The 12,389-nt window shown below is 54.5% G+C and overlaps 1 protein-coding gene and 1 long non-coding RNA gene across 8 annotated transcripts in view; one reads left to right on the top strand and one right to left on the bottom strand.

The window, feature by feature from the left end:
- RANBP3-DT (RANBP3 divergent transcript) overlaps positions 1–12,389 on the bottom strand; it is a 41,961-nt gene that overhangs the window by 6,932 nt on the left and 22,640 nt on the right. The window contains exon 2 of the long non-coding RNA NR_046376.1: positions 1,208–1,312. This is a non-coding gene — a long non-coding RNA (RANBP3 divergent transcript). The remainder of the gene's footprint in view (positions 1–1,207; positions 1,313–12,389) is intronic.
- RFX2 (regulatory factor X2) overlaps positions 1–12,389 on the top strand; it is a 117,337-nt gene that overhangs the window by 97,069 nt on the left and 7,879 nt on the right. For 6 of the 7 annotated variants that reach the window (XM_047439198.1, XM_017027107.2, NM_134433.3 and 3 more), the window contains 8 exons: positions 327–446; positions 3,181–3,296; positions 5,208–5,326; positions 5,630–5,742; positions 6,266–6,420; positions 9,134–9,231; positions 10,562–10,711; positions 11,409–11,617. In XM_047439198.1, the coding sequence (XP_047295154.1) occupies positions 327–446; positions 3,181–3,296; positions 5,208–5,326; positions 5,630–5,742; positions 6,266–6,420; positions 9,134–9,231; positions 10,562–10,711; positions 11,409–11,617 (1,080 nt within the window). Of the gene's footprint in view, positions 1–326; positions 447–3,180; positions 3,297–5,207; positions 5,327–5,629; positions 5,743–6,265; positions 6,421–9,133; positions 9,232–10,561; positions 10,712–11,408; positions 11,618–12,389 lie in introns of those variants that run through there. The other variant, XM_047439199.1, reaches the window with a different exon arrangement.

The following is a 12,389-nucleotide window of genomic DNA, read 5'->3' as shown; positions in this document are numbered from 1 at the left end:
GGAGGATCACTTGAGCCCAGGAGTTTGAGACCAGCCTGGCCAACATGGCAAAACCCCGTCTCCACTAAAAATACAAAAATAAGCTAGGCATTATGGCTCACGCCTGTCATCCCAGCTACTTGGGAGGCTGAGGCAGGAGAATCTCTTAAACCCGGGAGGCGGAGATTGCAGTGAGCCGAGATGGCACTGCTGTACTCCAGCCTGGGCGACAGAATGAGATTCTGTCTCAAAAAAAAAAAAGAAGAAAGAAAGAAAAAGAATCCCAACCTGTCTTGTTGTTCAGGACATCTGCAAAGGGAGCTGACCCTGGGATGTTTGGTTTCCAGGGGCAACTCGAAGTACCATTACTATGGGATTCGTCTGAAGCCGGACTCACCACTGAACCGGCTGCAGGAGGACACGCAGTACATGGCCATGCGGCAGCAGCCCATGCACCAGAAGCCCAGGTGGGTGCCGGGCCGAGCTGGGAGGAGCTGGCTCTCCCCTGGAGCATGGAGGGGTGGGTGTTTCTCCAACACGAAACAAACTCATCATAACTCCCCAGTCTCCAGCATCCTGGGAAAGCCAAGGTATCCCCCTCTGCTGAGACTGAGGTGAGTCTAGCAGGAGACACAGGAGGCTGGGATGCAACCTCCTCCAGCTAACTTTTCAGACTTTTTTTAAAACCGTTTAAAACTGTTTTTAACAGACTTCATTTTTTAGAGCCATTCTAGGTTCACAGCAAAATTGAGTAGAAAGTACAGAGAGTTGTTCTACACCCCCAGCCCCGCTCCCCACCGCCTCTCCCACCATTCACCTCCCCCACACAGCGGTGCATTGCTCATGACCCGTGACCCTCCGCGGAGCCAGCATCACCCCCCAGAGTCCACAGTCAACATCAGGGCTCACTCTTGGTGTTGTACATTCGACAGTTTGGACAAACCTATAATGACATGTGTCCCCCATCACAGTGTCACGCAGAGTCCTTTCACAGTCCTACACATCCTCCATGTTCTGCCTACCCAGCTTTCCCTCCCCACCCCAGTCTGCAGCAACCTCTAATCCTTCTGCCATCCCCACAGTTTCCCCGTTCCCCAGTGTCATATAGTTGGAATCACAGACCTTTAATTTTTAAAGCTTAGGAAGTAAAGAGAGAGAGGACACTGCAAATAACCCAAGAAGCCAGGAGAAAGAAGCAGATGTGCTCAAGTCACGACTTCTTCTTCACCTTTGGATCCAGTGGCTGGAAAGCCCTGGTTATTTTCTGGAAGATCCTCTTCTCCATCCATCACAAACTTTCTCATCTTCTAAGGCAGGAGCCAGCAAACCTTTCCTGTAAAGAGCCAGAGAGCAAATATCTTAGCCTTGCAGGCCAGACAGTCTCTGTCATGACTGTTCAATTTGGCTACATCCTGAAAGCAGCCACAGACAGCATGAGGATGATGGGCATGGCTGTGTGCCAGTAAAACTTTATTTATAAAAACAAACAGCAGAATTGGCCCTCAGGCCATAGTTTGCTGGCCCCTGGTTTAGGGCCCATTCAAATATCACTGCCTCCCAGTGTGCCTCCACAAGTGCCCCCCCTGAGGGCAGGGGCCACATTGCAATAGCCCCACGTGGCACCTTTACACCTGGTGCTGGACCCTCTGCACAGAGCCACCCGTGTATGTGTGTGGCTCAAAAACCCATTCCAGCTGCTCTGCGTAACCCATTGACTCCTGACCACACAGCCACTCCCAGGAGTTGGAGGTTCCAGGAGAGAGTTTCCAGAGCATTCCTTCTGTACCTCGTTGTCTGCAGACATGGACTCTGGAGCTCACTGCTGTTGTTCAATTTGGGCCCCTGGCAGACAGCTGTGAACCTGTGCTCCAGGCAGTGTGTCATTTTAGGAGCAGCGACACACATTTCAGGGGGACAGGCTGATGCCATTTGCATTTGGAAGCCACAGCCTGAGCCTGTGTCTGTGTGATGCCCACGGCCTGCCCTGAGCCAGGTGGTTTACACACACCTCGCCAGCATGGTCTCCCGCCTCCCTGTAGGCCTGGCCCCGCTTCGTATTTGAGGAGGGAGGTCCGCTGGAGATGCTCCAGCTCAAGCCGGCTCCCTCCCTGCCCCCACCACACCACACACCGGGCCCTGAGGAGTCCAGCGCCTGGAAAGTGCTGAGTGTTTCTCAGCACTGCCTGCACAGGCTGGCCACCACCATCTGGCTCAAAATGAAAGTCTCAGAACTTCTAAGATTGCACCAATAATAAGATGTTTGTGATTCACGCAAAGAATCTCCCTTTTATTTTATTTTATTTTATTTTATTTTAATTAATTTATTTATTTTTTTTGAGACCGAGTTTCGCTTTTGTCGCCCAGGCTGGAGTGCAATGGCGTGAACTCGGCTCACTGCAACCTCTGCCTCCCAGGTTCAAGTGATTCTCCTGCCTCAGCCTCCTGAGTCGCTGGGATTAAAGGCATGCGCCACCACGCCCAGCTAATTTTGTATTTTTAGTAGAGACGGGGTTACTCCATGTTGGTCAGGCTGGTCTCGAACTCCCGACCTCAGATGATCCACCTGCCTCGGCCTCCCAAAGCACTGGGATTACAGGCGTGAGCCCCTGCGCCCGGCCAAGAATTTCACTTTTTTTTCTAAGAGAGAAATGTTAGGGGGAAAATATATATCTATTTTCTCAAGTGTCCATTAACAAACTGTGGTTCATCCATATGATGGAATATTATTCAGCCTTAAAAAGGAGGAAATTCCAACACAGGCTACAACTCGGTGGACCTTGAGGACATAACGCTCAGTGAGAGAGACCAGTTGCAAAAGGACAAATCCTGTGTGACCCCACTCCTAGGAGGTCCCTAGAGTCGTCAGATTCACAGAGACGGGAAGTCAGATCAGGGGTGCCAGGGGCTGGGGACAGGGATGGGGAGTGAGCGTTTTATGGAGACAGAGCTTCAGTGTGGGAAGATGATCAAGTTCTGGAGATGACGACGGTGAGGGTTGCACAACCAGTGAATGTGCTTAATGCTGCTGAGCTGTGCACTCAAGATGGTTCCGATGGTAGCTTTTGTGTTATGTGTATTTGACCGCAACTTGTAAACATCACACACACATGCCTGACTGAATCCTGCCCAGCCCCCCAGTCTTTGGGCCCACCCGCAGCAGGGCTGCTGGGCCTCATGATGGTATGCGTGTTCCTGGCCTAGGTACCGGCCAGCCCAGAAGACGGACAGCCTCGGGGACAGCGGCTCCCACAGCGGCCTGCACAGCACTCCGGAACAGACCATGGCCGTGCAGAGCCAGCACCACCAGCAGTACATAGGTGAGAGGCCCGGTCAGGCCCGGGGGCGGGGCTCCCATCTGCTCGCCACACTCCTGGGTTTCAACACCAGCAGAACCAGTGGTGTCTAAGCGTCTGCTTCCGACAGTTTTCTTACGAGACACCTTTTCGGACAAATAGAAAGTTTTCGATAAACCTTCTTTCTGACATCCCTGAGACTTTAGAATAATCAGCACATGCCAAAAAAATTAATATATAAAATGACCATCAGAAAAATGAGAAAATAAAATCAAATGACCATCAGAAAGAACACTAGAGGACAGGCGGCTCATGCCCGTGATCCCAACACCTTGGGAGGCCAAGGCGGGAGGATCACTTGAGCTCAGGAGTTCAAGACCAGCCTAGGCAACATACTAAAAACTTAAAAAATTAGCCAGGCATAGTAGCAAGCTCCTGTGGTCCCACCTACTCAGGAGGCTGAGGCAGGAGGATCACTTGAGCCCAGAAGTTCGAGGCTGCAGTGAGCCATGATCACGCCACTACTCTCCAACCTGGGTGACAGAGCGAGACTCTGCCTTTAAAATTAAAGAAAAAAAAAAAGAAAGAACGCTAGATATTCTCTACTCAGGGTGCACCAGGATTTGCCTGCTATCTGGGCTTTCTTCCTTCTTGCCTGGAGCTTTTGGGGTGCTTCTGGTTCCCCAACATGAGGCAGTCTTGGCCTCTTCCCTGGGGGCTGCTCAAGGGACAGCGTTCTTCCCCAGCTGGCTTAGTGGTGGTGCCATCTCTGCCCCGGGAAGGCCCTAACTCAGAGCCTGCCATGAGGGAGGGCAGGGGGGTGGGGGGCGGCCAAGGAAGGCTCACTGGCATGTCATGATTCAGGTGGGCTCTGTACACACTCAGTGGCTTCCATGTCGTTTATGATCTTTTTTGAGCCCAAACAGAACCCTCCTGGGTTGAGTCTTCGGCAGAGATTGAGGTGGGGTCAGGCCCATCTCCAGGAGGTCACTGCAGGGACACCGTGGCTGGCCTTCTCCCCGAGATGTGCTGCCCTGAGCTGGCTCTGTGGGTACTTGCTGTGTGCCAGGGCCTGGGCTCAGGGCTTTCTCTGTGTCTGCATATTTAATGTTCCTGGGAGGTGACAATATCCTCTCCATTTTCTACCTGAGAAAACTGATGCTTAGAAATTCCCTGACTGTACTGGGCACGGTGGCTCACGCCTGCCATCCCAGCACTTTGAGAAGCCAAGGCAGGCAGATCACTTGAGGTTGGGAGTTTGAGACCAACTTGGCCAACATGGCGAAACCCCATCTCTACCAAAAAAAATACAAACTTAGCCAGGCGTGGTGGCACGTGCCTGTAATCCCAAATACTCAAGAGGCTGAGACAGGAGAATCACTTGAACCCAGGAGGAGGAGGTTGCAGTAAGCCAAGATCGTGCCACTGCACTCCAGCCTGGGTGACAGAGCGAGACTCCATCTCAAAAAAAAAAAAAAAAAAAATGGCCGGGCATGGTGGCTCACGCCTGTAATCCCAGCATTCTGGGAGGCCGAGGTGGGCAGATCACCTGAGGTCAGGAGTTCGAGACCAGCCTGGCCAAAACAAGGCGAAATCCTGTCTCTACTAAAAAATGCAAAAATTAGCTGGCATCGTGGCGCCCACCTGTAATCCCAGTTACTCGGGCGGTTGAAGCAGAAGAATCGCTTGATCCCAGGAGCTGGAGGTTGCAGTGAACCGAGATCGTGCCACTGCACTCCAGCCTGGGCAACAGAGCAAGGCCCTGTCTCCAAAAAAAAAAAAAAGAAAAAGAAAAAGAAAGAAAAAACAAATTCCCTGACTGCATGGGGTGGGGCAGAACATCTGTTTCTGGGCCCCCATCCACCGTGGCCTTCCAGTTGTCCACGGTGTCCTAAGAGCCTCGCCATTTCTGATGTTCCCGTGTTCCTCCCCCAGATGTCTCCCACGTCTTCCCCGAGTTCCCAGCGCCCGACCTGGGCAGCTTCCTGCTGCAGGACGGCGTCACACTGCACGACGTCAAGGCCCTGCAGCTGGTGTACAGACGGCACTGCGAGGTGACCGCCCCAGCCCAGGCAGGCAGCTCCTGCGTGTCCCTCCCGGGAACCGCCAGCGCTCAGGCCAGGCGTCCCCGGGTGACGCTGAGGAGCTGGAGCCCCGAGCCCCCCAACAAGCATCCTCTCTGAAGCAGCAGCCCCTCCGCATCCATGTCCATCGCCTGCTCCTCTCCTCTCTGTGGCCTCCCTTGGGATTCCAGGGCACCCCGCTGTAGCCCGGATCACGGCTGCTCACTTGACGTGTGCTGAGTGCACGTGATGGGCGCACGCACCCGTCTGTCTCACCGGTCCCTTCATTCCTAGGCAACTGTAGATGTGGTGATGAACCTCCAGTTCCACTACATCGAGAAGCTGTGGCTCTCCTTCTGGAACTCTAAGGCCTCCTCCAGCGACGGCCCCACCTCTCTTCCTGCCAGGTGACTGCCACACCCTGGCTGGGTTCACAGCCACCCCAGACTTAACCCCCTGCTGACGTCCACAGGTAACCCACAAACGAAAGCCTCAGCTCTCCAAGAATCAGGGTTCAGACCCCTCTGCCTCCATCCCTGTAATTTTTAGACTTGGTAGAGTTGACTTGAAATTCACATTGCCATCCGCCCCTTTGCAGGGTCAGACTGTTTGAATAGGGAGGATTTTAGAGGTGACCATGATGCAATCCCAAGTAGAAGTGACCCCAACCCATAGCTGCAGTGAGACGCAGTATGACAGTATGACCACTGGCAGGGGAGGGACAGCGTGGACAGTGAGGGACAGGGGGAAACACGGAGGCGCCGGGAGCAACATGGAGGGAGGGGACCCATCGAGGCTCAGGGATGGGGAGCAAAACCCCAGCCCCACTGTTGGGCAAAAGTCCCGCAGCCCGGCTCTCTGCTCGCTCCCGTGGCTGAGTGAGCCCACCTGGGCCAGGCCACAGCTCACCTGTCCCCCCTCCCTCCACAGTGACGAAGACCCCGAGGGCGCCGTCCTGCCCAAGGACAAGCTTATCTCCCTGTGTCAGTGCGACCCCATCCTCAGGTGGATGAGGAGCTGCGACCACATCCTCTACCAGGCGCTGGTGGAGATTCTCATCCCCGACGTGCTGAGGCCGGTCCCCAGTAAGTGACCCACGGCCCCGCCCGGCGCTGCTCCATCCTCTCTTCCTGCCTCCTCTGTCCTTTCTTACATGTACGTCTTCAGCCACCTCAGACCATCGCTTTCACAGAAAACCCAAAAGTGGCCGGGCGCGGTGGCTCATGCCAGTGATCCCCACACTATGGGAGGCTGAGGCAGACAAATCGCTGAGCCCAGGAGTTTGAGACCAGCCTGGGCAGCATAGTGAGACCCTGTCTCTAAAAAAAAAAAAAAAAATTTATCTGGGGCCAGGCAAGGTTGCTCACGTCTGTAATCCCAGCACTTTGGGAGGCTGAGGCGGGCAGATCATTTGAGGTCAGGAGTTTGAGACCAGTGTGACCAACATGCTGAAAACCATCTCTACTAAAAATACAAAGATTTAGCCGGGCATGGTGGCACACGCCTGTAGTCCCAGCTACTAGGGAGGCCGAGCCAGGAGAATAGCTTTAACCCAGGAGGAAGAGGTTGCAGTGAGCCGAGATCACACCACTGCACTCAGCTTGACTCTGTCTCAAAAAAAAAAAAAAAAAAAAAATGAGCTGGGCATGGTGGTGTGTGCCTGTAGCCCTAGCTACTCTGGAGGCTGAAGCAGAAGGATCACTTGAGCCCAGGAGTTTGAGACCAGCCTGGGCAACATAGTGAGACCCCATTTCTAAAAAAAATACAAAAATTAGCTGGTGTGGTGTTGCATGCCTGCAGTCCAGCGACCCAGGAGGCTGAGGCAGGAGGATCACCTGAGCCCAAGAGGTCGAGGCTGCAGTAAGCTATGATCGCACCACTGCACTCCAGCCTGGGCAACAGAGCAAGACCCTGTCTCAAAAAAAATCCCTAAGTGAGAGCCGCTGTGGGCCGTAGAATGTGTCCCCTCTGGCATGCGTTATTTGTCCTTGTCTCTGACTCGAGGGGAAGGTCACAGTGGCTCTGGTGAGCTCTACCTGCTGTCAGGACACAGCCAAGAGTAGCTGGGCTGGGCTCGGTGCTTTCTAGAAGGTTCACTGGGGGCATGCAGGCCGGCCTCTGGGAGTAGCCTGTGTGCAGCCCTGGAGCCGTCACTGTGCGGGAGGCCTTGGCCCAGGGCCATGTGGGGTTGCTGCGCACCCTGGTCTTGCAGACGACCACCAGCCACCTTCCTCCAGCCTCCCTTAAGCCCCACTGTGACACATCCTGAGTGCCACCCCTGTAGGAGGGGCAGGGACATAAACTCAGAAGAAGAAGCTGGGACATGGCCCTGGACTCCTGCAGCCTGTTAGGGTAGAGGCTGACCTTTAACCCCCAGCCAGACCCCACTTCCCAGCACCGTGGGATTCCAGGAGACATTTACACCCCAGCGCCCCACCCTGTGATTTCCCACAGGACTTGGTGGGGTGGGGAGAGAGTGACAGGCACAGTGAGGAAGGAAGCTAGGCCCACGGCAGAGATCACTCGTGCCCTTGGAGACCTCCCAGGGCCTCCAGCTCCTGAGGCAATGACAGCACCCACCACGAGGGAGCCCTCGGGCCAGGCCCGTGCCAAGCTCCCCAAAACCCTGGGGGTCGTCAAGGAAGCTGGGCACAGAGGCCTCTCTTCATAAATCACAGCATCAGGACCACAGGCCATGCCCCGCAGTCCATCCACAAACATCCGGGCCCATGGACCGTGCCCCTCAGGCCATCCACAAATATGCATGCCCGTTAGTACCAGGCAGCTCTCCGTCCTGTTGAGTAAACTCTATGCTCCCTTTGCTGGAAGATGGGAAACAGCAAAAGTATTGCATTTCTCATTTGGCCTGGCCTTGCCTGTCTGCCTGAAAACTGTTCAGGGCAATGCCTCGTCTGAGTTTCTATGTTATGGTGGGAGTTTGGGGTATCTTTCCTTTTGCATTTTAAAATATTTTTCTGGTTTTTTTTAAGACAGAGTTTTGCTCTTGTCACTCAGGCTGGATTGCAGGAGGCTCACTGCAGTCTTTGCCTCCTGGGTTCAAGTGATTCTCCTGCCTCAGCCTCCCAAATAGCTGGGACTACAGGCACCCACCGCCACGTCCAGATCATTTTTGTATTTTTAGTAGAGATAGGGTTTCACCATGTTGGCCAGGCTGGTCTCGAACTCCGGACCTCAGGTGATCCGCCCACCTCGGCCTCCCAAAGTGCTGGGACTACAGGCGTCAGCCACCACACCTGGCCTTTTTCTGTTTTTGTTTTTTGGTTTTTTTTTTTTTTAACAGTCTGATCATTTGCTTCTTATTCTAACCCACTTTAAAATAAATTAGGAAGTTGGTAGAATGTATTTACGTGTGTGTGTGTGTTTGTGTCAAGGCCTCTTTCCCTTGGCACTGTTGATATCTGGGGCTGGATCGTTGTCTGGGGTGGGGCCCTCCTGGGCACTGTGGGGTGCTGAGGAGCATCCCTAGCCTCCACCCACTCCATGCCTGAGGCACCCTGCAGTCATGACCACCATTAACGTCCCCAGACATTGCCCAGTGTCCCCTGGGGCAGAATCGCCCCTGTGAGACCCGCATAGGCAGTGGGTGGTGACCAGCAGCGCTGGGCCATGCCTGGTTCTTCCCGTTTCTAAGTGTCCTCGGTTCCCCGTCGCCTGTGTGGCTCGTTCTTCATGGTGGTCATTTTCATCGCACTTGGGCCAGCTCTTACACTGAATGCTGATTTCCAGGGTCCAGTCACTGCCTTTCTCCCTGGTAATATCATGGTCTGTATCCCCCAGGTACCTTGACACAGGCCATCCGTAACTTTGCCAAGAGCTTGGAAGGCTGGTTGACAAATGCCATGAGTGACTTCCCACAACAGGTCATCCAGACCAAGGTGCGTCCGGGGTGGGGCCTGGGCTCCCCAACGATGGCTGGGAGGGGCTCCAGTCCAGGACAGCATGAGGACCACTGTGTCCCAGAGAGCGCTGGCTTCTTCCCTGCGTCATGAGAGTAACCGATCCCTTCAGGAAGCCCTGAGCACACTGCCGGTGACGCGTCAGTGCTGGCAGGAAGGGGAACAACAGAAGATGTCATTTGATGTCACATCTTTGGGTCAATTCAGAACAGATTGCGTGTTTCTGTGCTCATCTTATTCGGGAAATTTAATCTCCTTGCTGTGACCCTTATTGCTGCAATCTTGGCCACAAATCAGTCGAATTTGAAATGTAGAACCTTGGCCGACTTGTGGAAAAGAGAGTGATTACCCACCGTTCTCACAAGCATTTCTTTTTTTTTTTTTTTTTTTTTTTTTTTTTTGAGACAGAGTCTCACTCTGTCGCCCAGGCTGGAGTGCAATGGTGTTATCTCAGCTCACTGCAACGTCTGCCTCCCGGGTTCAAGCGATTCTCCTGCCTCAGCCTCCCGAATAGCTGGGATTACAGGTGCCCGCCACCACACCTGGCTAATTTTTTTGTATTTTTAGTAGAGACAGGGTTTCGCCATGTTGGCCAGGCTGGTCTCGAACTCCTGACCTCAGGCGATCCACCTGCCTTGGCCTCCCAAAGTACCGGGATTACAGGTGTGAGCCACCTCACCCAGCCATCATGAGCATTTCCTGAAGGGCTCTTGGGTGAGAGGAGGCAGCTGCAGGGCACCCGCCTGCTCTTCGGAATTGATCTGTTAGGCAGTGATGCAAGCATTGATCAGGTCATTGTTAAAAAGTCACATTCAGGGCCGGTGCAGTGGCTCACACCTGTAATCCCAGCACTTTGGGAGACAGAGACTGGAGGATCATTTGATGCCACGAGTTTGAGACCAGCCTGGGCAACAACAAGCAAGACCCCATCTCTTAAAAAAAATAAGATTCCCAGGCCACACCCACTAAAAGTCTGATCCTGTAGCACTCAGGAGTCTGTGGTCTCAACAGCCCCTCCAGAGAACCACAGGGACTCTAGAAGTGGGCATGGCGACAGTTGTGAATTCTAACTCAGCAGCACGCAGGCCTCAGTTAGCGACGTGTGTGATGTGCCGGCGAGGTCTCCTCTTCACTGATTCTCACACACTGGGTCCTTAAGAATAGCAGGAGGTTCCCTCTTCCCTGCCCAGGTTGCTGTTTCCTGCTCCCTCCTCCCTGTGTTGTCCCTGAGCCCACACACCCCTGCAAGGAGCGCAGCGGAACAGGCTCTCCCTGCGAACCCCTGCTCACCACGAGCCCTGGCTTACAGGTGGGCGTCGTCAGTGCCTTCGCCCAGACGCTGCGGCGCTACACGTCCCTCAACCACCTGGCGCAGGCGGCCCGGGCGGTGCTGCAGAACACGTCCCAGATCAACCAGATGCTCAGCGACCTCAACCGCGTGGACTTTGCCAACGTGCAGGTGACTTCCTCCACACCGTCCCCAGGGCCCGGGCTTCCCGCCCTCCAGCAAAACCAGCAAACCCACCAAGTGGAGCCCGTGGCACAACCTGGCCCCTGCCCCGAGCCTGGCCACGGTTCTGTTGCATGACACGGGTCCCAGGCCAAAGCCCACCCACAGCCCCCAGCTCTCTCCACTCCATCATCTCTCAGGGCCCTCTGGCGTCCAGGCGCTGTGGCCAACACTTCTGCTCATTTTCCTCACAAAGGCCCCCAGCTTCCAGGATCGTGGCACCACGTTGACCTCCCTGTGGCCATTTTCCTGGCTCTGTCCCCTGGGCTTGGCAAAGTGTCGGCCCACAGCAGCTTCCGAGCTATGCTTATTTCAGGCCCTGCGTCTATCCATTAAATAAATAAACGCACACACATACATTTAGAAGTGACCCCTTTGAAACAAAGCTAAACAAAGACCTCATATAGCATGAGCTTTGATCCAGAAAGACCTGGGTATGAGTCCCCGGAAGCCGGGTACGATCCCCCTCAGCTCTCTATTCTGCCCCTGTGACGGGAGACACAGGACTTGGCTTGCAGCTGTCAAGGTCAAGGGCGAGAAGGCTCAAGCACAGCACGATGTCCCGCCCTGAGCATGGCTAGGTCCAGGGAGGGCTGCCGTGGCTGGGGGTCCACATTGCTGACACTGGCCTCTGCCCTGCCCACAGGAGCAGGCCTCGTGGGTGTGCCAGTGCGAGGAGAGTGTGGTGCAGCGGCTGGAGCAGGATTTCAAGCTGACCCTGCAGCAGCAGAGCTCCCTGGACCAGTGGGCCAGCTGGCTGGACAGTGTGGTCACCCAGGTCCTGAAGCAGCATGCCGGCAGCCCCAGCTTCCCCAAGGCCGCCCGGCAGTTCTTGCTGAAATGGTCCTTTTACAGGTTAGTCCCACCAGACCTCCGAGAGAATTCTGGCGGGTGGGGGGCTCTGAGAGAAACTTCTAGAGGGTAGGGGGCTCGGCTGGTGAGCTCAGAGCAAAACAGGGCTCAGCAGAGTTGCAGCAGTGTCTGAACCCGCAAAAAACAACTACCTGGCTGGGGGCCTCACTCATGACCAGCGGCTCCCAGGGGCAGGCCCAGAAGGCCACCGTGGCCTAAATACTAAGTTGCAAGTTCTGCAGACAGAAATCATCACTGAGGGCTGGGCATGGTGGCTCATACTTATAATCCCACCACTTTGGGAGGCCAAGGCAGGAGGATGGCTTGAGACCAGAAATTTGAGACGACCCTGGGGAAAATATCAGGACCTCTACAAAAAGTAAAAAAACTTAGCTGGACGTGGTGGCATGTGCCTGTGGTCCCAGATACTTGTGAGGCTGAGGTGGAAGGATCCTTGAGCCCAGGCGGTCCAGGCTGCAGTGAGCCAAGATTGCACCACTGTACCCTAGCCTGAGTGACAGAGCAAGACCCCATCTCTAAGGGGGGAACAAAGCTATCTCAGAACTGAAGGGCACAAGGAGGCTCCTGGTGAAATATCGAAACACCAAGTTTGAGAAACAACCATAAAAGCTTCCAGAGAGAAAGAAACAGGCTGGGGATGGGAGCAGCATTAGACTTCCGAACAATGTGCAGAAACCCAGAAGGCAGTAGAGCGATGTCCTGAGAGCTCTGAAGGGAAATCATTTCCAAGCTACAGACCTAACCTGTGCAGACC

Source organism: Homo sapiens, chromosome 19 (genome assembly GCF_000001405.40).
Source record: "Homo sapiens chromosome 19, GRCh38.p14 Primary Assembly".
NCBI classification, from domain to species: domain Eukaryota; kingdom Metazoa; phylum Chordata; class Mammalia; order Primates; family Hominidae; genus Homo; species Homo sapiens.
This window is presented reverse-complemented; position numbering and strand designations above follow the sequence as displayed.